We start from the raw sequence: 27,052 nt of genomic DNA, 5'->3' as shown, positions 1-27,052 counted from the left end.
CTGACCTCACCTAATCTGCCTGCCTCGGACTCCCAAAGTGCTGGGATTACAGGCATGAGTCACTGCACCCGGCCTCAAAAACCTCTCTAATTCTATTAAGTATTTGTTTTCCCAGATAACTAAGGACTTAAAAAAAAGTATATCACAGCCTCAGTAGGAATCACTTTGAAATAACCCTGGCTAAGCCTGTTTAGTAGTATAGTCAGCTTCACTACTCTGTCACCAAATTAAAATGTACTAGAAGCTAATTGTCTTAACAGTTAGCAATGATTAGTACAGCAGTGATTTGTTCCTTTGTTATTCAGTTTGGTTTCACTTTATTTATTTTTGAGACGGAGTCTTGCTCTGTCGCCCAGGCTAGAGTGCAGTGGTGTGATCTCGGCTTGCTGCAGACTCTGCCTCCCGGGTTCAAGCGATTCTCCTGCCTCAGCCTCCTGAGCAGCTGGGATTACAGGTGCCTGCCACTGCACCCGGCTAATTTTTGTATTTTTTAGTAGAGATGGGGTTTCACCATCTTGGCCAGGCTGGTCTCGAACTCCTGACCTCATGATCCACCCGCCTAGGCTTCCCAAAGTGCTGGGATTACAGGCATGAGCCACTGCGCCTGGCCTGGTTTCACTTTATTTGCACCATTCATTCCTGATCTGTTGTCTTGTTTGTTTTCACTTGCTTCATTTCTTCTTGTGATGTTTTTCCCTTTATCTGTTCCATTCCATTTTTTTCTCTTTCCCGCCTTTCTCACTAACTCTTCTGCCTCTGTTTTTTTTTTTTTTTTTTTTTTTTTTTTTACCAGCTTACTCCTCCTTTCCACAGGCGTGCACAGACTGTCCTGTCTGTCAGCAAATGCTGATTGTGGGAAATCAGACTTCAAACATGTAAAGGAGTGTCCATCACAGAAGAGACGGTTGAAAAACATTGCCTTTGTGGCTTCTGAGCATTGGTGTATTTCCAAATATTTTTCAAATTAACAGATCCCACTGGTGATCATTTCCTTGAAAGAAACTCAGGGTCTCTATTAAGCCATGTGGAAAATTTGCATAAGGTGGTGAATAGAACTCTGCACAAAGTTGGGAAATCTAGCTTTACAGTTGGTCCTGAATGCAGTTTTATTCATCTTTTCTGTGACATTTGTTATAAACCATCAAAGGAAAAGTAAGATTGTTTGGCTCTCCACTACCAAAAACAGGCATTAAAGAGCAGATTCTATCAGTTAACCTCTCTGTGCTTGAATGAATGTGACGCTTGACAGCCGATGAAATATGAGCTGCAAGTTTCTTTTGCCCTGCTCCTATAAACTATGCATTGTTTTGATTTGGCTTATTGATCGCATTATGGAGGATTTCTATATGGCTGTTGTCCAGAATTCTCTTCTTTTATTCTTTTGAGTGAAAGGTTGCATATAATTTGGTAAAAATTTCTAAAAGGAAGTATGCATTCCGCATTTAATAAATAGTTTGTGTGCAGCTAATATAGCCTATTTCCTACTGAAGCAATTCAAAGACCTTTAACAGGCATAGAGTATGTCATAAGAGTAAGCCATTTATGCAGCAGCTTTGGGTTGTTGAAACCCTTTAGGGAATCTGATTTTATAAATTTTATTTAAATCACTAGTTGGATATAGTTTAGACATGATTTTGTCCTATAGAAGGTACATTCTTGGTGTTTGAGATAACCTTAAATGTTCTTAACCTTAGGAGCCTTTGTATAGGCAGGGAAGTACTTCTGTAAAACACAATTCTCAATCATAAGAATTCAATAGCAAGTGAATCATTAAAAAACTCACATTTGGTTTGATATTCCACATCACCCTTAACTCTGATCATGTATATCTTTTACTTAAAATATTTCAATGGCTCCCCACTGCCTTCGGAATACTACCCAAATACTTAGAGTAGTGCTTCTCAAATTTTAAAGTAAAGTCCATGCAAGTCACCTGGGCGTCTTTTAAAAATGCTGATTGGCATTTGGTAGTTCTGGGCTGGGGCCTGATAGTCTGCATTTCAAACAAGTTCTAAGATTGGTCCAAGGATGGCACTTAGAGTAGCAAAGCATTAAAATGTAAGTAGGCAAAGCTCTGCATCATCTCTGCCCTGCAGTTGCATCTTTTGTCACCCTGTCTCTCTGTGTCTCTACCCTGCCTCGCTCTCCCTCTCCTCTCTCTCTTTTTTAAGAGACAAGGTTTTCACTCTATCACCCATGCTGGAGTGCAGTGGCATGTGCATGGCTCACTGTAACGTCGAACTCCTGGGCTCAAGTCATCCTTACACCTCAACTTCCTAAGTAGCTAGGAATACAGATACGAGCCACCATGTACAACTAATTAAAACAACTTTTTTTTTTTTTTTTTTTTTTTTGGTAGAGACAAGGTCTCACTCTGTTGCCCAGGCAGGTCTCAAACTCCTGGCCTTGAATGATACTCCCACCTCTGCCTCCCAAAGTGTTAGTCATGAGCCACTGTGCCCGGCCACCCTCTGATTTCTGCCCATACCCCAAATTCCCACCACATGGAGTTCCAGTTCTCTGCATGTGTTGTGTATTCTTATTGCTCTGTGCCTTTACCCATGTTCCACCTTCTGCCTGGACTACTCTTGATAATCCCTTGATATCCTTCCACCTTTTATCACGTGTCACTGTCTTCTTGATGCCATCCCCAACTCTCAGTTTTGTTTTGATGGCCAGTAGTTGTTGTAGCATCCTGTGGGTTCTACTTTTATGGAGAGACTTAACAGTGTAGTATTCTTTCCTTCAAAGTGTTTTTGTAAAGAATAGTAAGTAGAGGTCGGGTGCAGTGGCTCACGCCTGTAATCCCAACACTTTGGGAGGCCAAAGTGGGCAGATGACGAGGTCAGGAGATTGAGACCAGCCTGGCTAACATGGTGAAATCCCGTCTCTACTAAAAATACAAAAAAAAAAAAAAAAAAATTAGCTGGGCATGGTGGCATGCGCATGTAATCCCAGCTACTCGGGAGGCTGAGGCAGGGGAATCGCTTGAACCCAGGAGGTGGAGGTTGCAGTGAGCCAAGACCGTGCCACTGCACTGGTGACAGAGTGAGACTCCTTCTCAGAAAAAAAAAAAAAAAAAGAATAGCAAGTAGATTTATTTGGGCTAAATAATGAAGTCCATATTGGAGAGTGGTGTGGAATGTTGGATAAACAACAGTACAATTAAATTGATGTTGATCAGAAATAGGTAGGAGACTGAGCACAGTGGCTTATGCCTGTAATCCCAGCACTTTGGGAGGCTGAAGCGGGAGGATCACTTGAGGTCAGGAGTGCAACATGGTGAAACCCCAACTCTACTAAAAAAAATACAAAAATTAGCTGGGTGTGGTGGGGTCACCTGTAATCGCAGCTACTCAGGAGGCTGAGGCAGGAGAATCGCTTGAACCTGGGAAGTGGAAGCTGTAGTGAGCTGAGATCGCGCCACTGCACTCCAGCGACAGAGCGAGACCCTCTCTCACAAAAAGAATAAGTAGAAAGGGGAAGACAAAATAGTTGACAGGAGATCCTAAAGCCCTTACTACAAATTTTGGGAGTGATGTAATATTCAATCAAGTGGAAGGTCAGGGAAATATTTTTGCTGCTACTTCTAGGAAAGTTTAAAGCAGAGAAAATTGGAGAAAAGGACATTACCTGTTCTTTTTGCATGAATGTATGTGTCCTACTGGGAGAATAGACTCACAAGGCCTAGATTAGCATTAGTACTGTGAGGTGCTATGATGGACTCCTTGAGTGGATGTTTTGTCTCTAGGGCTGCAGCTTGAAGCTAAGTTTTTTAAAGCACCATTTGACTTCCAGCTCCATTATTTACTAATTCTGTGGCCCTGAGCAAATGGAACATATTTCCCTAATTATAAATAAAAGTAATATTATTTACCTGCTAAGGTTTTTCAGAGTATTAAACCAGTTAATGTACATATGATATATAGTAGGTTAATTCTCTCTTCTCTTCTTTAGGGCTGTGTTGTCAAGCCTAATTTTAAAAAAGTTACAATATTAAAAGACATCATTATGTTGTGAACAAGTAGTTCAGAAGTCTATGTCTACTTTATGAATTCACTTTAACTGGTCATCTGATATCTATCTGTCTGTCTATATATATCCTGTTATCAATTAAATTGGCTTGCTTTTTAATTTAACAGCTATGAGAAGATGAAAGAGAGAGGCATTTCGTAGTGATTGATTCCCAGTTTGTGACTGAATGTCATAAGTAGACTAATTGATGTTATAAATTATGATTGTATAAATTTTAATGAATTGTGTGGCATAACAGGCATTTAGTAAATACTGAGTGGTTATTATGTGAAAGAGAAAGGAGTACTAAATACCACTGAGTGGTTATTATGTGGAAGAGAAAGGAGAACCAAGGATTTTATGATTTGATAAAGCAATATATATATAAAACGATGAAGAACAATGCTATAATGTTTATCAACAAATAATTTAATATACTGTATCTCTTGAATTGGTTTTAAATGTCCTTGAAATAACCATTTGTAAAGCAAAAGTAATCCTAGTAGAAATATTTCTGCTGTGATCTTGATGGATTTGGTGATTTTTCTCATTATAAATTTCTGCACAGATGAAGTTGCTAAGTGACATGAATTTTGTCACAAAAACCTCACTCTTCTTAATGCTTTATTGATTCTCTTTCTGTGACCGATGCAAAGTGTAAAATTGCATGGAATGTTCTTCCTGCACAGTTGAGCTATTAAGCAGAACTAATTCTTTATGGAATGACAACAAGGCATAAGAAAGGCATCTCTTGGATTAGGCAATATAAGGCAATCACTTGGCAAAAGGCTGAAGGGAAAGTGGTCTTGGTAAAGACAAAGCAGTGACACTTTTTTTTCCCCCTTGAATTCATAGGAGCCACACAAGTTGAACAGCTTTGAAGCTGGTTAATGTGGCTTACTATGCATGTTTTTTCTGTACCATTTCCTGCTTGTTTTTGCCAGCAGAGGGGCCAAGAATAATCACTTGATAAATGCATTAGCATGTCGCATACACTTCTGTGACCACACACTGTTGCTGGGAAGACAGATAATTTGAGAAGAAGAAAGTCCCAGTTGGGGATGTCTTTCAAAGTGAGATCAGATTTTACTCCTAAACTAACACAAGTCTGTCTAGATTATGAGAGTGCCATATGGAGACAGAATAGTTTTTAAAAATTTAAGTCAAGTTTAAATTGAGAAGTTGAGAAAGATGTAATAGGCAAAGTGAATAGTGATTTATCTTCATTTTATCAGCTCTAGAGATGAAGACAAAGAATGTTGGTGGTAATTTTTTGACAATTTAATGATTATCGAAAACTTACTTCCCTGGACTTTTCTTATTGACAACCTGTTCCTATTTATTTTGCTGAGGTGTATGATTTTCCTTGTTTTTAACCTCTTCTTTAAATTCCTACCAACACAGACTCTTCCTCTTATCACATTTCTACATCTACTTCTGGTGTTCTTCATAATCTGGTCCTGGGAACCCACCCTAGTTGCCTGTCAAGCCCTAGTTACTTCTGATCTCGTTAGGGTGGGCTCCATCAGTCCAGCAGAACATGAGCCAAGGGGTAGCTGAAGAGCCCTATACTTCAGCCGCAGATGAGGACATTAGAAGTGATTGTGAATTCAATATTGTAAATCATTTACTGTAACTATTTTCTCCTCTGCTTTAGAAGAGTAGAAATATCAGTGTGGCATAGATGCATGTACAAAAGAGTATGCTTTTATTTTAGCACTCAATAGTGGTAAAAATATTTGTATTTTTGTAGTTTAATCCTGAAGAAGTACTCAAATGTTCAGCAGTCTTGGTCACATATGAATTCCAAGAACCTGCAGCCACTCTAGAAAATCCATTTCTCACTTGAGATTCCTAGGAACAGACCAACTGGTTCTAGGACCAAATTCTGAATAATTTCAAGTCTGGCCTAGTGGATTCTGTGCTATGTTGAATATTATGAGAATTCCCAAGATAGGTTTAGAATGTCAGGGGACCCCGGAACTGACATGTGTCTGCAGGATATGCTGGATCAGCAGCCTGTAAAAGGTCTGTCCCCGAATTGCAATCCTGTGTGTGCCACTGGCATCAAGAGGCAGAGGGTTAGGCTGGGCTTTTCAGGTTGTGTGTGTGTGTGTGTTTGCACATGTGTGTGTAATGCTTACTGATACCAACTCTCCTAGCTTCTCAGCAGAGGTGTGACTGCTCTTTGACCATTTCCATAGGTAGAAGAATAGGAATAGGAGGGCTCTAGGTTTCTGGCTCCTCCTGTTCCTCTAATAGTTAGAACTGGAACATAGATCCATTTCTAGTTATTAGGATAAATATTTTTGTGTGCACTTTTCATGTATAGTGTTATAAAGTAATTTAAACTTAGTTTCAGCATCTTATGGTTCTTCAGATTATTACTATGTACACATTATACTATATGCTCTAGATGAAGGAGGTGATGACTGAATTGAATCCATACATACTCTAGGACAAATTTTATTTGTGTGTTTATCAGATGTCTATTGACTGCCTTTTCTATCTGTGGTGCTGTGCCAGAAATAAAAAGATAAAAGACTCTATTCTGTGGATGAGAGCAGAAAGTAAAACTGATGAAACAAACAGTGAAGCAAACAAGATATCCTAAGCTCCTGGGAATATTAAAGGGGTCTCTAGTTCTACTTGGGAAAATCAGGACTAACTTTATAGAAGAGGTGAAGATAGTCTCTAGGAGTCAGCTTTTTAAATCTCTGTGTGCTGTCTTCCTGCTTAATTTATAAGTTTTCTTCTTTAACACTGGCTAGAAAATTAAATAGAATCTTTTCTGTTTTTTAAAGAAGTATAGCCTTCTTGAAATTTATTTTTAAAGTTTACATATAGTAAATTCTGTCTTTCAAATCTATAGTTCTATGAATTTTAACACATGTGTAGAGTTGTGTAACCATCACTACAATCAGGATACAGAATAGTTTCATCATCCCAAAACGGTCTCTCAGGCTGTACTATATAGTCATAACCCTCTCTCTCCCCTGACTCCTAGCAGCCCATATATTTTGCATTTTCTGGAATACCATATAAATAGTAGAATTATATATTATGTAACCTTCTGTGTCTTGCTTCTTTTACTCAGCATAATGCATTTGAGATTTATTGATCTATATTGTTAAGACTTACATATTTTGTTTTATCAGTAGTTTGCTGCTTTTTGTTGCTGAGTAGTACTTCACTGTATGAATTTAACACAGTTTATTCATTCACTACCTTTGAAGGACAATTAGGTTGTTTCCAGTTTTGGATGATTATGAATAAAGCTTTCCTAAACTGTCTCATACAGACTTTTGTGTGAATGTAAGTTTTTATTTCTATTGAGTAAATATTTAGAGATGAGAATGCAGGGTTTTGTTTTGTTTTGTTTTGTTTTTGAGATGGAGTCTCACTCTGTCATCCAGGCTGGGGTGCAGTGGCGTGATCTCGGCTCACTGCAACCTCTGCCTCCCGGGTTCAAGCAATTCTCCTGTCTCAGCCTCCCAAGTAGTTGGGATTACAGTCGCCTGCCACCATGCCCAGCTAATTTTTGTATTTTAGTAGAGAGGGAGTTTTACCATCTTGGCCTGGCTGGTCTTGAATTCCTGACCTCATGATCCACCCGCTTCGGCCTCCCAAAGTGCTGGGATTACAGGCGTGAGCCACCGCGCCCGGCCAAGAATGCAGAGTCTTATAGCAAGTATGTGTTTATGAAAAACTGCCAAGTTATTTTCCAAAGTGATAGTACCAGTTTGCATCCCACCAACAATGTATCAGAGTTCCAGGTACTCCATATCCTCACCAGAACTTGGTATTGGCAGTGTTTTGGATTTGAGTCATTCTAACAGGTGTGTAGTGACATCTCATTGTGGTTTTAATTTGCATTTCTCTATAAGTATGAGGTAGGATATACTTTTGTGTTGAGTTGCCATTCATGTGTTTTCCTTGTTAAAGTATCTGTTCAACTCATTTGCCCACTTTTTATTGAATCGTTTTCTAATTATTAAGTTTTGAGCGTTGTGTATACATTCTGGATACAGAACTTTTGTCAGTATGTGATTTTAAAATTTTCTCTCCAAGTCTGTGGGAGAGTCTGTTCTTTCATTCTCTTAACAGTATTTTTCCAAGAGGAGGGGTTTATTTTATTTATTTTTAGAGACAGAGTCTCCGTTGCCTAGGCTGGATAGCAGTGGTGCGATCCAGGCTCAGTACAGCCTCGACCTCCCAGGCTCCAGTGATCCTCCTACTCCGGCCTCCCAAGTATCTGGGAGCGCAGGCACACACTGCCACACCCAGCTAGTTGTTTATTTTTTGTTGAGATGGGGTCTCCCTGTGTTGGCCAGGCTGGTCTCCAACTCTTAGGTTCAAGTGATCCTCCCACCTCTGCCTCCCGAAGTGCTGAGATTACAGGCATGAGCCACCGTTGCCAGCCAGAAGGTTATTTTTTCCTTAATTTTGATGAAGTCCAGTTTATCAATCTTTTATGGATTGTGCTTTTTATAAGTCATATATAAAAACTGTTTGCCTAACCCCAGGACACAAAGATTTTTCTGTTTTCTTCTAAATGTTTTACACTTTTACATTTCACATTTAGGTCTTTGACCCAATTTAATTAATTTTTTTGCGTAAGGTATAAAGTATAAGTCAAGATTAATTATTTAAAGATGAATTTTTTCAAATATGGATGTTTGCTTGTTCAAGTACAGTTTGTTGAACAGACTATCCCTTCTCTATTGAATTCCTTTTGCAATTTTATAAAAATCAGTTGACATAGTTGTATTGGTTAATTTCTGTACTCTTCTGTACATATACAGACATATACAGAGAGTATATGTCTAACCTTTTGCCATTATCATACTTCCTTTATCAGTAATTTTTGAAATCATTTTAATTCTTGAAATCAGACAGTGTGAGCCCTTCAATTTTGTTTCATCTTTTTCAAAATTGTTTTGGCTATTCTAGGTCCTTTGCCTTTTCATAAAAACTTTAGAGTAGCTTTTTATTATGCCTGTAAGGACAGGGCTGGCCTGGGCAAAATTGCCTGTCTTTAATTTTCTACCACTTCTTGTTTTCGTATATTTTGTGTCCAGCCTTTTTATATCTGGTGAATACTTAATATAATCATGCTAGTTCCTGGATGAAGGGTTCTCTGCTCTAGATTTGTCCAAGGCCCCTTAGACCAATGAAAATACAGCTGTCCTTATCCTTTGTCATAGGCATTGTGTCTGCTGGCTAATCTAGTCTCTAAGTCCCAACACATTTCTGTGCTTTATGATACATATATTTATGTACAGATATAAATATGTCATTACCTCCTTATGTGCTAGAACTGAAATGTACAAAATAATGATGCTGAAAATAATATAAGAGAATTTGGACTGATTTTAAGTTATTCATTGTCTTATTCTAAATCTTCATTTCCCATTAAGCAAATTGCCATCATAGCCAATTGTGAGTTAGTTTTATTTTGGTGGACATTTAATGATAAGCAGTTATGTATAAAGCACTATGACTTTTAGGTTCATTGAAATCACTGCTAATTTCTTACTCTTGGGCTTTAGGAGACAGATACTAACTTCATGAAACTTGTTCTCTTGTTGAGTATTCATTGGAAGGGGTGCCAGAAGGTGGAAAGGTGGGGGAAAATACCAAAAAAAAGCCATTAACAGTTAACAGTTTAACAGTTAAGCCCAAGCTTTAGAAAACTTGCCATTGAAAATTATTTTATGAATAATTTGAACATATCATTGAGTTTTAAGATCATCCAAGTTGGGTCATTTTTTAAATGGCTACAATGGCTGTAACTAGAGAAATAATATCTATTAGCTCCAAAAATCCTATAATATAAAGTTAGAAGGTGGATTGGGGTACACTGAACTGTGATTCTGGGAAGGCTCTTTAGAACTGGAAGGAATGGCAGCAGTTGCTGAGAAGAGCGCTACCATTTGTTTTGTTTTGTTTTGTTTTCTAGACTAGTCATGCGCAGTTATGAGAAGAAGGGGAAGAGCAGAACTAAGTTTCAGCCAATGCCCAAATGAATCTCCCCCACCCCCGCACTCTCTCCCCTCTCCCCATCCCTCTCTGTACTGCTCCTTTTTTTCTATGAGCATGATTCACGAGTCCTGATGACTGCCCTAATTTGAGAGTCAGGCAGTCACAAATTCTGACACTATACCACACCTAAACTGCCACATTGTTTTTAAATGAAACTTATGAGCATCATTTCTTCTCTAAAGGTAAAATCCATTCCCAGGAGCCTCCTGAATCCTGCATATAAATACACCTGTGGCTCTTCCTCTCTCCTCTCCATCCTGCCCTACCCCAGAAGAAGTAATGAATGGGGCTGAGCGTGGCAGCTCATGCCTGTAATCCCAGCACTTTGGGAGGCTGAGGCAGGAGGATTGCATGATCTCACAAGTTGGAGACCAGCCTGGGCAACATGGTGAAACCCTGACTCTATCACAAACACAAAAATTAGCCAGGTGTGGTGGTGTGTGTCTGTAGTCCCAGCTACTGGGAAGGCTAAGATGGGAGGATTGCTGTAGCCCGGGAAGTTGAGGCTACAGTGAGCCAAGATCACACCACTGCACTCCAGCCTGGGTGACAGAGAGAGACCCTGTCTAAGAATGGAGTGGGTGGAGTCATTCAAGGAAAACTAAAGTGACAGAAGAGACCCTGATTGGATATTAGCTTGGCCTGAGATCTAGATGCTACTTTTTAGGACAGGGAAGATAAGTTTATGTTTTCAAGCACTGATGAGGAAACTAGTAATGAGAGAGTGATGCAAAAGAATGGGAATAATAAATGGAATAAGGGCGCAGAGCTGGTAGGAGGGATGGGATTAAGAGCGTCAGGAGAAGGTTAACCTTGGTGCAAGTTGGAATGGTTACTGATTCCTCAGAACCAGAAGTGAAGGAAGAGAAGCTAGGTGAATAGGGAGAGATTTTGAGGTGGTAAGGAGAAGAATCAATGGTGTTTATGTCCAGCAAGATAATAGAAATAGCTAAAATTTACTGAGTGCTTTAATAATACAGGAAATATATTAAGTACTTTACATGCATTACCTTACGTTATCCATAATAACCCTTTTAAGTCCCTTACTTTACAGAACAAAACATGTTCAGGAAAAGTAAGAAATTTGAGGCTGGGCGCGGTGGCTCACGCCTGTAATCCCTGTACTTTGGGAGGCCGAGGTGAGCAGATCACCTGAGGTCAGGAGTTCGAGACCAGCTTGGCCAACATGGTGAAACGCTGTGTCTACTAAAAATACAAAGTGGCTGGGTGTGGTGTAGTGCGCCTGTAATCCCAGCTACTTGGGAGGCTGAGGCATGAGAATCGCTTGAACCCAGACACAGGTTGCACCACTGCACTCCAGCCTGGCGATAGTGCAAGACTCCATCTCAAACAAACAAACAAACAGAAAAAGAAATTTGCTTAGGGCTGTACGGTAGAGTTATAACAGCCAAAATCCCTTCTGTTACTCTTCTGAGGGAGATAAGAGGCAAAGTTTTCTAATGTGAGTAGGAGGGAGGTGGTGATGTGGTTTGTTGAGTTCATTCAAGTAAACCTTTATCGAGTGCCTGTTGTATGCAGGGCACTGTTCTGGCTGTTAGCAACACAGACAAGTAAGACATGTTCTCTGAACTCAAGGAATTTACAATCTCTGGTAAAAGTGATTGGGGACCTGAATAATTGTAGGGAATGGTTAAAACCAGTTACTAATGAGATTAATAAGAGAGTTCCTGAAAAGCAGTGAGTGGCCCAGTGGTCAGGAGGAACTTGAACAGTTTTGTGTTACCCTCTTTCTGGCCAAATAAATTGAACATGGGGAGTCCCAGGTCTAGCATTTGGCAGAGAGCAAAGCGGATGAAATATTAAAGAAGCAACAAATTCTCAGGTATTATTAAAGGTGCGTTTTAAAATATGAATGCACTATAGGAATATACTGGAAAATAGTCTGTAGAAACTTTGCATGTAGGGCACATTTCTTAGAGTCCCTGGTTCCCAACTTTGTTACAAAGTCTCTAGCCTTTGTTTTATTTATATTTACTTAGTCACGTATTTTGATCTAAATATTTTCTTTCAAAAGCAAAATGTATTTCATGGCACCTGGTTGTCAGAGTTGTCAGATTCAAGCAGGATAACATGTTCACTAGAAATTAGGTAATAAACCACTTATAGAATGGCTGTTGTATATTTAGTACAGTTGTACAGAGGAGTTGACACCCAAGATGTAGTGATCACATTTGTCTTGTTACATTATTTTTATTAAGCAGATGATTTTTTCCTGTTAAATAATTTAAGATAACAAATAGCTTCTTGCCTAGTCTTAAGGATATAAGTTTTCCTTCTGTTTGAAACCTGTTCTTTGGTTAACTTTCACCTATTGATAGCATGAAATGTTGGGACTAGATCTCTTAGTTTTACTTAATGTTCAGTTGCATGTCAGTCTTCAAGTAGGAAGCCTCAGAGTGAATCAGACTTGATAAGGCAAGAAGTTACCACTGTGTTTTGATTAGTAAAGCCTAAAGTATACAAACGCATGGTTGATTTGAAAGACCAGTGTCATAAAAATAAGCTTTACGTTAATATATATCAAACTCAATACTGAACTCTGAAATTGTGGATGCTTGAGAGTTGTGTTAGAAATTTCCCCGTGTTCTTTTTTTAAGAAACAGGATCTCTTCTCATCCAGGCTGGAGTGCAGTGGCATGATAATGGCTCACTGCAGCTTCTACCTCCCAGGCTCAAGTGATCCTCTTACCTCAGCCTCCCAAATAGCTAGGACCACAGACACAGGCCACCACACCCAACTCATTTTTTTTGTAGAAATGGGATCTCCCTGTGTTCCCCAGGCTGGTCTCAAACTCCTCAAATGAACTTCCCACCTTGGCCCCCAAAAGCATAGGGATTACAGGTGTGAACCACTGTGTCTGGCCTCCCTGTGTTGTGTTTTGTTTTGAGATGGGGTCTCACACTGTCACCAAGGTTGGAGTGCAATGGTGCAATCTCGGCTCACTGCAACCTCTGCCTCCCAGGCTTAAGTGATCCTCCTGCCTCAGCCTCCAGAGTAGCTGAGACTACAGGTATGAACCACCATGCCTGGCTAATTTTTTGTATTTTTGGTAGAAAAAGGTTTCACTGTGTTGCCCAGGCAACTCCTGAGCTCAAGTGATCTGCCTGTCTCGTCCCCTCAAAGTGCTGGGATTATAGGCATGAGCCGCTGCGCCCAGCCCTCCCTGTGTTCTTGATGAGCTACTTATAGATTTCCCAGAGCTACTGACTGGTGACTTAGAGATGTGGAAACAGCACTGAGGCCTCTGGAACGTGCTTCTGCCCACGTTGCCCTGCCATTTAGGATTCCCCAAGGAGGGGGTGTGGCAGCAGTGACTGGTGCAGTCGATGAGGCCTTGGGATCCCCTGGCTGAACTGCAGTGTTAGGACCACCGTTTAAAACCCTGCGTTAGGATTCTGACCTCATTATTTTATGTTTAAATAATATTTTCTCTGCAGTTTTAAAAAGAATGTGATGTTTTTCTTACATTAGGAAATTGTAGTGGACGTATTTTAAATTGTTAGATGGTATGTAATTTCAGACTGTATTCATCATTTTTATTTGGTTTTAAAATCGTGTATTAAGCATTTTATTCATTGCAACCTTTTAGAAGCATGCATAGCGTATTACTTAAATATTTATTAAATTAGTAGTCATACATTTCCAGTGTAGAGTCATATAAGTGTTGCTTTCTAGTCAAATAAAAGTTTGGAAAACATTTTCATCTTGGCATTTTTAATGTTTTTTTTTCTGACTATAAATCATAGAAGCAAATGATTAAATAGACAGGTGAAGAGGAGGAAGTCGCAAATAAAATAGGCACTTACATTTATTGTGTTTGCAAGGTTGTTTTTGAGGACAGCGCATGTTTCTCAAGACCTTGTTTCTTGCCTATTTTATAGAGCTCTGGCCTCTTAACAGCACAGCTTTAATGACTTCTTGTGGGGCTCTTGGTTTACGTTAACACTGACTGTGGAGGGAAGAGAGAGGTCAGGTTTCACAAGGAGGCTGTAGACTTGTAAAATCATACCTAACTGGCGGAAACAAAGTCTGGGGAAGGAAGTAAGCTGAGATTTGCATAGGACATGAGGTGTTTTCCCATTTAAATAAATGCAAAATATTTTGATAATACTGAAAATAGTTTGCAGACTGAAGTCTTAAAAGGCTCTAACATTCATTGTGAAAGACATAGTCATTTACTCAGTTTAATGCCTCACTTAAAAGAATCGAAATTGAAAAAGCAAATACTTGCTAGGAAACAACATTTAAAACTATCATGATATATATGTTTTATATTTGCATGCTTTTCTAAAGTTTCTAAGTTTTGATATAAAATATTATATAATTTGTTTTTTTAATTGCACAGTGGTTTCATTCAAGTTTTTTCTTGTAATTTCCAGGTTTAGGGCACTGGTTAGCAAGAAAATCAAGCATCCATTGATCATAAGTGATGTTTACCCAAAGAGTGAGAAGTTAAAAGAACTAAAAAGGCAGATAAAAATTAAAAGTAAGGGATTTTATCAAGCAGTGGAGTAACAGTAGAAAATTCATGCATTCATACTTTCACTGCAATCTGTGCCCCATAGCGGCATATATACTTTATGAAAAGAACACTAATTTTCCTAATTAAATACTTTTATAGGAAAAAATGTAAGTAAAGTAAAAAATAAAATAAAAATCACCATACATAATCCTGCCACTGGAGATCTGAACTTAGTTACCTATCTCTTTTTAATTTATCTCCCATTATTTCATCATTGAAGTAGTGGATTTTATCTCCTTCAAATAATTTATCTCTGCACATTCAAAATGGAAAAATTACTTTTGTTTCTCTGTAGTTTATATACCTTTATGCAAAAGCTACCTAAGTTTGGCTTAGTAGAAAATAACGGAAAAAAATTAAATTTTAGAATACCTTTGCCTTTATTCAGGCCTTAAAGTTTATTTTTATTGTATATGAGGATCACTGCCATCCTTTGTTTAACATTCTTTGAGTCATTCTTCTGAAAATAAAACCAGTGTATTCATAGTAAGGCATTCTATCACTATTCCCGAGCCTGCACAACTGCTAGGAGTTTACTAGGTAACAAGCAGTGCCTGGGTACACATATGTATATGTATATATAATTTAATGTTATTCTTACAATGTGCTTAGAAAGTATTTTTAATATCCCCTTTTACTGAGGGATACTGAGGCTTGAGATTGAGTAACATCTCCAGGACACACAGCTCATTAATGCAAAACTGATTCTAACTCAGATGTATGGATTTTAATATCTGTACTCTTACCTTCAAGGCTATGCCAGTGTACCACCTCCCTATATACACATAAATTATGCTGGTCTGTACTGGCTTTTATTCCTGGTTTTCTTTATACCAGCTAAGGCCAAGATTTCACTTAGTCTTTTTTTTTTTTTTCTGAGACGGAGTTATACTCTTGTTGCCCAGGCTGGAGAGCAATGGTGCGATCTCAGCTTACTGCAACCTCCGCCTTCTGGGTTCAAGCAATTCTCCTGCCTCACCCTCCCAAGTAGCTGGGATTGCAGGCATGCGCCGCCACGCCCGGCTGATTTCGTGTTTTTAGTAGAGACAGGGTTTCTCCTTGTTGGTCAGGCCAGTCCCGACCACCCGATCTCAGGTGATCTGCCCACCTCAGCCTCCCAAAGTGTTGGGATTATAGGCGTGAGCCACCACACCCTGCCACTTAGTCTTTTAAAAAAATATCCTTGGCTTGGCGCGGTGGCTCACGCCTGTAATCCCAGCCCTTTGGGAGGCCAAGGCAGTGGATCACTTGAAGCCAGGAGTTCAAGACCAGCCTGGACAACATGGTGAAACCCCGTCTCTACTGAAAATACAAAAAAAAAAAAAATTAGCTGGCCGTGGTGGCATCCACCTGTAGTTCTAGCTACTGGGGAGGCTGAAGCAGGAGAATTGCTTGAACCCGGGAGACAGAGGTTGCAGTGAGCTGAGATCGCACGACTGCACTCCGGCCTGGGCAACAGAGTGAGCCTCCATCTCAAAAAAAAAAAAAAAAAAAAAAAGAGATTGCATTAAAATTGGAAAAACAGTAAACACTGTTTTTTTAGGCTGCTGTTACAGAATCTCAAAGATGTCTTTCTGTAAATCTTAATGATAGCCTTACGTATGAGCCATTAGTGAAAAAATCAAGACTTATCATTGTAGAACAGCTGTAAATCAAAAATTAAAAAAAAAACACTTAAATCAAGATGAATATATATTTTAAGTTGTTTCTGTTATTAGTCCATGGCCAATTTTACAGTTTCCCAGTTTGCCTTAACATGTCCAGTGTCTTCTCATTCTGATCAAATGAGAGTTTGGAATGGTTATTCAGCAGACCATCTGATCTCTCTTCCTATGTTCTGATTCAGGCAACATTGTATCCCCCAACCTTTACGGGCCAGAAACCTCAGAACTATATGGATCCTTTCCTCGGTCTCCCCTGAATACCTCTGAGCCAAATGATGTTTGGTGTACAGTGTCTCTTTTGTGCGCCCTCTCTTTGTTCCTGTTACTTCTGCCATCATTAAAACCCATAGCAGATCTCTCTTCTGCTGTTCTGATAGTCTCTTAACTAGTTAGTCTCCCTACCTCTAAACTCTCTCCCTCTAAGTACTTGGCTTTTTGATGGTCAACATGTTTGTGGGCTTAGAACCAGGAAAATAACAACAAAGGAAAAACTGATATTCCTATTAGGTAAACTGTTTTTAAAAAAGAGATTTGTTTTTTAAAAAATATTTGACTACTAAATTTTAGCTTGAGGTAGTATAACTGAGTTTACATACTTTTCTATCTTTTTCTTATTTTTATTTTTATTTTTTTGAGGCAAGGTCTCATTCTGTTGCCCAGGCTGGAGTGCAGTGGTGTGATCGTGGCTCACTGCAGACTCAACCTCCTGGGCTCAAGCAATTCTCCCACCTCAGCTGCCTGAGTAGCTGGGACTGCAGGCTCGCACCACCACACTGGGCTAATTTTTAAAACTTTTTTTTGTAGAGACGGGGTCTCGCCCTATTTCCCAGGCTGGTCACTTTCCTATCTTTAATAGGTTCCTAGAAGTAGACATACTTTTGTTTGAGATGAGAGCCATAGTTTTGAACTTCCAGTACACAGAGTTTTAAAGGTGTTTTTCTGTTTTGGAAATGTAGAAATTTAACACATATTCTTTTTTTTTTTTTTTTGAGATGGAGTCTTGCTCTGTTGCCCAGGCTGGAATACAGTGGCACGATCTCGGCTCACTGCAACCTCCGCCTCCCGGGTTCAGGCGATTCTTCTGCCTCAGCCTCCTGAGTAGCTGGGACTACAGGCGTACGCCACCATGCCCGGCTAATTTTTGTGTTTTTAGTGGAGACAGGGTTTCACCATGTTGGTCAGGATGGTTTTGATTTCCTGACCTTGTGATCCACCCTCCTTGGCCTCCCAAAGTGCTGGGATTACAGGTGTGAGCCACCGTGCCCAGCCTTAACACATATTCTTACCCAGCTAGAAAGCCAATGCATTTCACTTTATACTGAGCAGCAGAATTGCTTAGGAGTAGAACCTGTACTTTTTTTTTTTTTTTTTTTGAAACAGAGTTTTACTCTTGTTTCCCAGGCTGGAGTGCAGTGGTGCGATCTCGGCTCACTGCAACCTCCACCTCCCAGGTTCAAGCAATTCTCCTGCCTCAGCCTCCTGAGTAGCTGGGATTACAGGCACCTGCCACCACACCCAGCTAATTTTTTGTATTTTTAGTAGAGATGGGGTTTCATCACGTTGGCCAGGTTGGTCTCGAACTCCTGACCTCAGGTGATCCACCTGAAGTGCAGGGATTACGGGTGTGAGCCACTGCGCCTGGCCTAGAACCTGTAATTTGTATCTTCTACAGAAAGTTTGGGGAACTCAAATTTTACTCATAAGGGTCTTGGAAGTTGACTACCTGGATTCAGATCCCAGTATCACCACTTACTAGCTGCAAACTTTGGGCAAGTTGCTTAATTTCCCTGTCCAGTTTCCTTAACTGAAAATTGGGTGAGTAATAGTTTTGAGAACTAAATAAGCTGGAATATGTAATGTGCTCAATGCAGCACTGGCAATAAATGTTAACCTATTGTTATTTCTGTCTTTATTAAATTGCTTCAAACCTCTGTTATTTGCTTTTATAATTTGGGTTGATTATTCCTTATCTGAAATGCTTGGAACGAGAAGTGTTTCAGATTTCACATTTTTTTTTAAATTTTGTAATATTTGCATTACGCCGGTTGAGCATCCCAAATCCAAAAGGCTGAAATGTTCCAATGAGTATTTCCTTTGAGCATCATGTCAGTGCTAAAAAAGTTCCAGATTTGGAGCATTTTGGATTTTTGAATTTGGGATTCTCTGTACTTTTGCAATGCTCAGCTTTTGGGGGTGCTCTGTCCTTTTTCTTCATAGCATTTATCACAGTTTGAATTTATTACACTTGGATAGTAATTTAATTAAATGCTTTTCTCCACCATTAACAAAGATCCCTGAGAATAAAACCTCTGTTAGTTTTGTTCCTCATTAGATCCTTGGCGCCTAGCATATACTAGACACTGAATGCATATTCATTGAATGAATTAATAAATTTAGAAGAGATTACTTTAAAAGTTTCCTAAAAGTGATTAAAATTGTTTTCAAAATTGGGGAGAAAATCTGGTCCATTATTTTATCAAGAATTTTATGACTCAGAGCCTATCAGCATGGTTAACCACAAACTAAATGAATGGTCTTATTGTAAGAACAATGGGATCAATATTAATATGTGATTCATGGAAATTAACTCCTTCGTGTCAGTTATACTGTATATCTTTAATAGCAGAGATATTGTTTTCATATAACTATTTAAGATTGGTTGTTTAAATACTATCGCATGTTGCCATAAAAACAGTTTGGTTTTGAAATAATTGATGCCTAACTACTCTTTTTTTTTTTTTTGAGACGGAGTCTTGCTCTGTCACCCACGCTGGAGTGTAGTGGTGCAATCTCGGCTCACTGCAAGCTCCACCTCCTGGGTTCACACCATTCTTCTGCCTCAGCCTCCCCAGCAGCTGGGACTACAGGTGCACGCCGCCATGCCTGGCTAATTTTTTTGTATTTTTAGTAGAGACGGGGTTTCACCGTGTTAGCCAGGGTGGTCTCGATCTCCTGACCTCGTGATCCACCCGCCTTGGCCTCCCAAAGTGCTGGGATTACAGGTGTGAGCCACTGCGCCTGGCCTTTTTTTTTTTTTAATTTAAGTTCTAGGGTACATGTGCACAACGTGTAGGTTTGTTACATAGGTATACATGTGCCTATGTTGGTTTTGCTGCACCCATCAACTCATAATTTACATTAGGTATTTCTCCTAATGCTATCCCTCCCCCAGACTCCCTCCCCTTTTTCTTTTTTTTGCAAACGCTCACTAACAAGTCTGTTTGTTGGGACTACACCCAGCTAAAAAGAGTTAAAATATGTATTTGGCATAAAGGAAGATTTTTTTTCTTTTGCTATGGCAAGGAGATATGCATTCATTTTTTTCTAGTAATTAGGCTAAGCAGTTTAAATATTTAGAAGGATGGATGCTGAGACATGATGCTTTTTGACAGCATTTACAATTAGAATCACATTTTTGTGAGATTATTTCCTTGTTGGTTTTAGAAGTAGTGGATTAACCTATAGAAGCCTTTGAATGGATAGATGAAAGCTGCTTGAGTCTAATGCAGCTTATCAAACACTGGTGTTTGTCTGGAGTGTTTTGAAGAGGGGAAGGGAAGAATGAAAGCAGAAACAAGATAAGAGGCTGATAGTGGTTCAGGTGAGAGATTGGGACTGGAACAGAAGGGAATGGATTTGACACGTGTTTAGGAGTTAAAATCAGTGGGAACAGGTGATTGAGAATACAGAAAGAGTAAGTAGTCTCTAGCTTAGGTGAGTAATTTGATAGTGGTGTGACAAAGATGAAGCAGAGATACAGCTTTGGAAGAAAGAAGATCACTTCATTTTGGACACGATGACTTTGGAGTGCCTTTGTTTTGTTTTGTTTCTTTTTTTGAGATGGAGTCTCGCTCTGTCACCAGGCGGGAGTGCAGTGGCACGATCTCAGCTCACTGCAACCTCTGCCTCCCAGGTTCAAGTGATTCTCCTGCCTCAGCCTCCCTAGTAGCTGGGACTACAGGTACGCACCACAACGCCCAGCTAATTTTTGTATTTTTAGTAGAGGCATGGTTTCACCATGTTGGCCAGGATGGTCTGGATCTCTTGACTTTGTGATCTGCCTGCCTTGGCCTCCCAAAGTGCTGGGATTACAGGCATGAGCCACTGCGGCGGCCTGGAGTGCCTTTCATAAACTCCAGGCGAAGATGTCCAGTGCACAGTTGGAGCGATGAGTACGAAGGTCTGAGGATGGTGATCTAAGCTGGAAGAGGTATTTAGGGGAATCAGCAGCAACAGCTGGCTGTGGTTGAAAACTAAAAGAGGATATAATCACCAAAAAAGACCATGGAGAGAGAAAAGAACAGAGACTCTCTGGAAGGAAGGGCAGAAGAGGAGGGAGAGCGAGCCCTTGAAAAGGGAGACAGGAAGGAGGAGCCACAGCAATAAAAGGAGAACAAGGAGCATGTAGTATCATAGACCCTGTTTCCATAAAATAATAGGGAAGAAGGCAGATTAGATGTTTGAGGCATGGACTCAGAAAGGAAGAAGGGGAGACAGCCAGTAATACTCTTAAGAGAAGTTTCGATCCCATGGGGAGGAGAGCAGATAGCTGCTAGACGGATCACGTAACGTGATGTAAAGACATGTTTAGAGTTTTCTTCCTTTTGTTTTTTGAGGTTGGGAGAGAGTGGAACACTTTTATTTGTGGAGGGAAAGGAGCTGGGAGAAGAGTTTGAATATGCAGTGGAGAGAGACATCCCAGAGGGGAGGGAAGAGATTGGGATTGGTGTCCAGATGGAGGGATTACAAACAGAAAGGAGGGAATTTACTTTCATTGTTGATTCATGGTTGCCTCTTTCTTTCAGTCTCAGAGGTAACCGATGAAAGTCCTAAGCAGTATCTGGCTTGGTATTTTCTCCACGAAACTATTTTGCCAGTGGATTGAATTTTCAAAAGATATCAAAAAGTTAGATATTTTAAATATAAAGGTGTTTGTGAGGATTAAAAAATGTGTACCTTTATACTTGGGTTCAAACCTTTCTGAAAACCAGAGTTTTCAAGGGTAAACCTATTTATGTTTCAGTTTTCAGAATTTTATGACTCCAGAGTTCCAGCCCATTAGGCCTAAAGTACAAGGTTAGCTCAATTGTTATAATAAAAAAATCTTAGGGATTTCATAGATTTATCCATTTGAGAAAAAAGGGGAACTGCTCAAAGAAAAGGCAGTGGTGCCCAGGCATATTGTTTGATTGGTTAGATTCAGAGTGAAAAAACAACACTCAGTTGCCTATGTGGCTGGCAGGAAGTAACTCAAGGCAGCAGAGTGATCATTTTTATTCTCAATAATCACATTTATAAGAAGTTTTCACTCTATTGGCTTGTTTAATCTTTATAAAAATCCTTTGGTATGGGAGGGATAGATTTTTGTCTCTAAAAAAAATGCCAGTAAAATATTGGGCATTGTTTGGAATTGTAGCAAACAAAAAAATAATAAAAAGCACTATTTTCTTCTCACCCCGTCTTGGTATTTGTACCCAAGAAACTCCTTACAATTCTAGTTATTGTGCTTAAAGACCTAATAGAATTGGAGAAAATTCAAAATACTAGTTCAATTCAGAAAGTATATTTTTTTTAGTGCCAAATCTGCACCGTTTACTGTCTTGCAGTATCCTGCAAAGAACATGACCTGCTGCTGCCCCTCAGTGAGCTTATAATGTAGAAGCGGAGGAAGACTTGTAAATAAGTGATTATAATGTGAAATAAAGGCAGCAGTGAAGGTCTGCAGTGTACAGAGGTAGCAGAGAAAAGGGTCGGAAACCACTTCCCAAAGGATGGGATAAGTGAACCAGGCTTTAAAGAATGACAGGATTTCATCAGGTGGACAAAGGGACCAATGTTATTAGCAAGAGAAGGAAATGTTCACATAAACCTTAGAGGTGTGAAATACCATGGTGTATTTCGTGAATTATAAGTAGCTCAGTGTTAGTGAAACATCATTGTAAGTGGTTGAATATAAGGCTAGAGTTTTACAGGGAATAATTAATTCAGCAGCAACACAGATTCATGGTTTATGATGATCACTGAGGGTGATGTTGCTGGCAGGGGAGATACCAGCTAAGAGGCTCCAGAAAGACATCTAGACAGGATATGATAAGGGCCTGAATTGAACAGAGGACTGTTAGGGATGAAGAGAAGTCAGATATGAGAGAGGAATAAATGAGATAAAACATCTTGAATTGAATACTTAATTCATTGTGGGGTCGTGGAAGAAGAAATTGTTAAAGTGGACAGGCTGGGGGAGCTTCTGTTCTGTAAAAAAAATTTAAACTAAGTAAGATATTTCAGTCTGGAGAGGTAGAGTCTGAGAAATAATAAAGTAAAATTCCCATTTTGAAGTCTGTCAATTGAATATGGACTGGATTATCAGTGACAACTAGAACTAATGGTCACCCCTCACACATGGAAAAGGTGAATATGGGATTGACAAGAGTGCTTTATATTTCATAAAGCAAGCATTATATTTACGGAAATGTAGGTCCTAATTCCCCCCAAGATAAATGTATTCAACATAGTTTAAGTTAATTATAAAAAGACAAACTTACCTGATTATTGAGAAATCAGGTTGTTCTGCCTGAATGTGAAGCTGATATTTTAAAGGTGAATCTAGCCATCTGTTTCCTAATTCTTTAGTAGATAAACAGCAGGGGATGGTCCATAGGTTTAGATCCAAAATTAAAATGTTTGCAGATAAACATCCTAGCAAGTGTACAGAAGCAATGAAAAGTAGCTCAATGTTAGTGAAACACCATTGTAAGTGGTTGAATATGGGGCTTGAGTTTTACAGGGACTAATTAATTGATCAGCAACATAGATTCATGATATCGATTTTTAGAGTTTGATATTCTAAGAGTGGTTCTCCAACTGAAGAGTCTCACTCTTTATACTCTTAAAACTCAAATAACTTTTATTTATGTAGCTTACATCTATTGACACTATTAGAAATTAAAACTGAGAAAAATATTCATTAATTCATTTTAGAATGAAAACATTTATGCATCACATATTAATATAACTATTTTCCAGAGGAAAAAATTAGCCAGAGGAGCAGAATTGCTTTACATTTGTGCATATCTCTTTAGTTAGCTTAATAGAAGACAGCTGGGTTCTCATATGTGTCTGCCTCAACTTTTGGTCTGTTGTAATACCATGCATTACATAACTCCTGGAAAACACCGTATATTCAAGACAAGAGAGTGAAAGTTATTATGCAAATGATTCTGACTTTGAGGATCCACCAACAATAGCAGTTTGAAACAGATTTATGTTTCATACACAAATAAGGGATTATTTCACCCCCACTCCACCCTTTTGGGAAGTCCATCCTCCTAAGAATATTTTCACCATTATTTGCTGGCCTTGTCCTGTGCTTGTAAAGGCCTGTGATCTATCTACAGATAAATGAGTTCAAGTGCAAGGCAGAATTTGTTAGCCTTCTATGACCTTTTACCCTTTTCAGCCTAATGAAGCATAAGTTCATGTAGCCCTATTACCTCTATTCTTCTTCATAACTTCTCATTTTATTTATAAATAATAAAGTTCAAACAAATTTTTCTTTGAACTGGAATCTGGGGAGGGGAGGAGGAAGACTATAGTAGTGGACCTTTCTTTGTATCTTGGAAGACTTAGTAGAAGGAAGGGAAACCTGGAATTTACACTCCCTCAAAATGTGATCATGGACACTGAAGACCACTTCCTGGAGGCCTGCCTAGAATTGCAAAGAATAATTATCTCTAGAAAATACCAACCCTTCAAGATTGATCTCTGCTTTGGAAATAGATGAGCCTAAAAATCGTCTCTTGAGTTTCTCTACCTTTTGTTTGAGATGCACCCTTGGGCTTCTCTCTTTCCTTTCTCATCCTGTTCCTTCATTACCAGCTTCATCTGATTCCAGATAGAGTGATATGTCTGTGGCATAAGAACCAAGTCTTTGTTTTCTTTAAGATATCGCTAGACTCTCCCCATTCCACTGCCACCACCCAGTTCTGTAATCCCTATTTAATAGCCTATTGGACTTTTGACTTGAGACTCCTTTATTCTATCCATCCTGATTAGTTTTTCCCACACATTGCTAATATCAGGACATGCCTTTGCTCAGAAATCTTAATTGATGCCTTAATTTGTTTTATCTGTATTCTTCTTCAGCTTTCCCATAAAGTCTTGATCTGAAATATTTTGCAGTAGTTCTGGCTGTTTCCTCACAATCCTATGAATGCAAGCTTTGCATTTCTTACCTCTGTGCTTGTCTTCATGTTATTCTTTTCACTTGAAATGTTCTGTGCTTTCCCACCACCACCACCCCCATCTAAATCCAGTGGATTCTTCAAAAGCTAATTCAAAACCAGTTCCTGTAAATGGTTTTTACCTGATTAGTTTGAATTTATTTGTTTCCCTCTCCTCTGATATACAATAGTATTTGAAGTTTGTACCACACAGTTTAGTATGTAATTATATACCATTGTTTATTTTTGTTTCATATGTTAACTTTTTATCTCCAAATAGATAAATTTCTTGCGAACCTATTTAGAATTTAATTCTGGGAAAGACCAGACTTCGTAAATTGGGCAACTGCCCAGTGTTTTCTCCAAAATTATTCACTAAATTATCTTCATGCTGGTTAAGTTAGGTTGGTCTTATATCCAAGCAAGGGTTCAAGTCCAATAAGTAATATCTAGTGTAATGTTACTTCTAAGTGTTATTTTCATGCACTTATTCTGAATTTCTCAAACTTTATCTTATAGCTATTTCTGCATTTGAAGTCCAGCCAATTTCCACTGAGGTCCACGAAGGTGGAGTTGCTCGATTTGCATGCAAGATTTCATCCCACCCTCCTGCAGTCATAACATGGGAGTTCAATCGGACAACTCTACCTATGACTATGGACAGGTAGATGTAGATTTTTGTCTTTGGAGATGATATGGGAGTAATGAAGACTTCATATGAGATTATATAGGGAGAAACACCATTATAGGCCTCATTTTTATTTAGGGCAGTAATAACTGATTGCTTAAGACATTTCAAACTTAGCCAAAGAATTAGATCATCAGTCTCTGGCACATGGGGCATGGTTCCTGGTTTAGATCAGAATTTAAATAGATTATCCTACTGCCTTGATCCTTTCCTCAACCATCTGTTCTAACCATGACTATCTGGACTGCAGCCCAGGGTTTTAGGAAACCAGATTACACTCTCATTGCTGGGAAGGGCAGTGTTGGTGTAAGGGTCTTTCATGTATGCCCTGGTAGCTGCCCACTCCTGTCTCTGCCTTCCACTTCTCAACCCCCTCTTTACTACAAATGCACACACAAGCACACATGCACACATCTAGTGTTCTGCGGGCGGTTGGGATTGAAAAATCAAGAACTTGATAGCAACTCCAAAAAGTTTGATTCCTGCCCTGCTCCTGAGTTGGCAGACATTTGCTAACATGGTAAAGCACTAAGATGGAATAAGTTATTCATGGAAGTGCTTTATTTAAAAAAAAAAAGCATATCTACATATGTCTTGGACAATATATGGATATTAATAGGTAAAAAATCAGGAATTTGAAAAAAATTATACTAAACTCTAGGCCACCAGTTAACTAAATCTATGCTAGAATGTCAAATGAGACTCTGTAAAATTCGACTGATAGATTGCACAAACCATATCATGCTGGATTGTTTATGTTTTAGAGAGCTTTAGTGACCCAAATGAAAACAATAGAATCAAGCTAATATTTTAAAAGGTCTTTAAAGTATTGCTTGTAGCACTGTAAAAAGGTTGAGTGTATTCCTATCACAGAATATGTTAAATAAAATATGTAGTCTAAGCCCGGCACGGTGGCTCACACCTGTAATTCCAACACTTTGGGAGGCCGAGGCGGGCAGATCACTTGAGGTCAGAAATTCAAGACCAGCCTGATCATCATGGTGAAACCCCATCTCTACTAAAAATACAGAAATCAGCTGGGCATGGTGGCGCACCTGTAATCCCAGCTGCTTGGTAGGCTGAGGCGGGAGAATCGCTTGAACCCTGGAGACAGACGTTCCAGTGAGCTGAGATCATGCCATTGCACTCCAGCCGGGGCAACAAGAGTGAAACTCCATCTCATAAATAAATAAATAAATAAATAAATAAATAAATAAAATATGAAATCTACTACAAAAAGTTTAATTATCTTTCTCTCATAACAGGATAACTGCCCTACCAACAGGAGTATTGCAGATCTATGATGTCAGCCAAAGGGATTCTGGAAATTATCGTTGTATTGCTGCCACTGTAGCCCACCGACGTAAAAGTATGGAGGCCTCGCTAACTGTGATTCCAGGTACCACGCAGAGTGGTTTTTCCATTTTTATGACGTTTTATTGGCGCAGTTGTTACTTCTTCTCCTCTGCTGTAATAATGTGCCATAAAGTAGAATTTCATTTAAATTATTATAATCTATTTGGAAAATGGTCATTTTTAGTTATTAAGCAACTCTTCTTTCATAGGCCAGTTTTCTATGTTATGTCAATGTCTTTAAGAAATATTCAGTCTTAAGAAAGATTAACAAATATTCAGTCTTTGGTATTCTATTCAATGCCAAAATTCACTGATGCTCAGGTCTCTCATAGAAAATGGCATGTTATTTTCATTCACCTATGCACACTCTCCTGTATACTTTAAATCATCTCTAGATTACTTATAATACCTAACAATGTAAATTCTATGTAAATCATTGTTATACTATATTTTAAAATTTGTGTATTTTTATTTTTTAAAAAAATATTTTCAACAGGCAGTTGGTTGAATTTACAGATGTGC

The 27,052-nt window shown here is 39.0% G+C and overlaps 1 protein-coding gene across 5 annotated transcripts in view, besides 1 other annotated feature; it reads left to right on the top strand.

Annotated features, from left to right (window-relative positions):
* The window catches only part of PRTG (protogenin), a 131,609-nt gene that overhangs the window by 34,216 nt on the left and 70,341 nt on the right, over nucleotides 1-27,052 (top strand). For all 5 annotated transcript variants that reach the window (NM_173814.6, XM_017022081.3, XM_017022082.3 and 2 more), the window contains exons 3-4: nucleotides 25,006-25,150; nucleotides 26,440-26,573. In NM_173814.6, the coding sequence (NP_776175.2) occupies nucleotides 25,006-25,150; nucleotides 26,440-26,573 (279 nt within the window). The remainder of the gene's footprint in view (nucleotides 1-25,005; nucleotides 25,151-26,439; nucleotides 26,574-27,052) is intronic.
* Nucleotides 23,472-23,521: an enhancer, noted in NCBI's record as "active region_9449". NCBI's record gives its function as "activates an Ori minimal core promoter by ATAC-STARR-seq in GM12878 lymphoblastoid cells {active_cell/tissue: GM12878}" and the evidence as "EXISTENCE:reporter gene assay evidence [ECO:0000049][PMID:35858748]".

The sequence above is a fragment of the Homo sapiens genome, chromosome 15 (genome assembly GCF_000001405.40).
Source record: "Homo sapiens chromosome 15, GRCh38.p14 Primary Assembly".
Classification (NCBI taxonomy): Eukaryota; Metazoa; Chordata; class Mammalia; order Primates; family Hominidae; genus Homo; species Homo sapiens.
The sequence above is the reverse complement of the archived record's forward strand: the minus strand, read 5'-3'. Positions and strand labels throughout refer to the sequence as shown.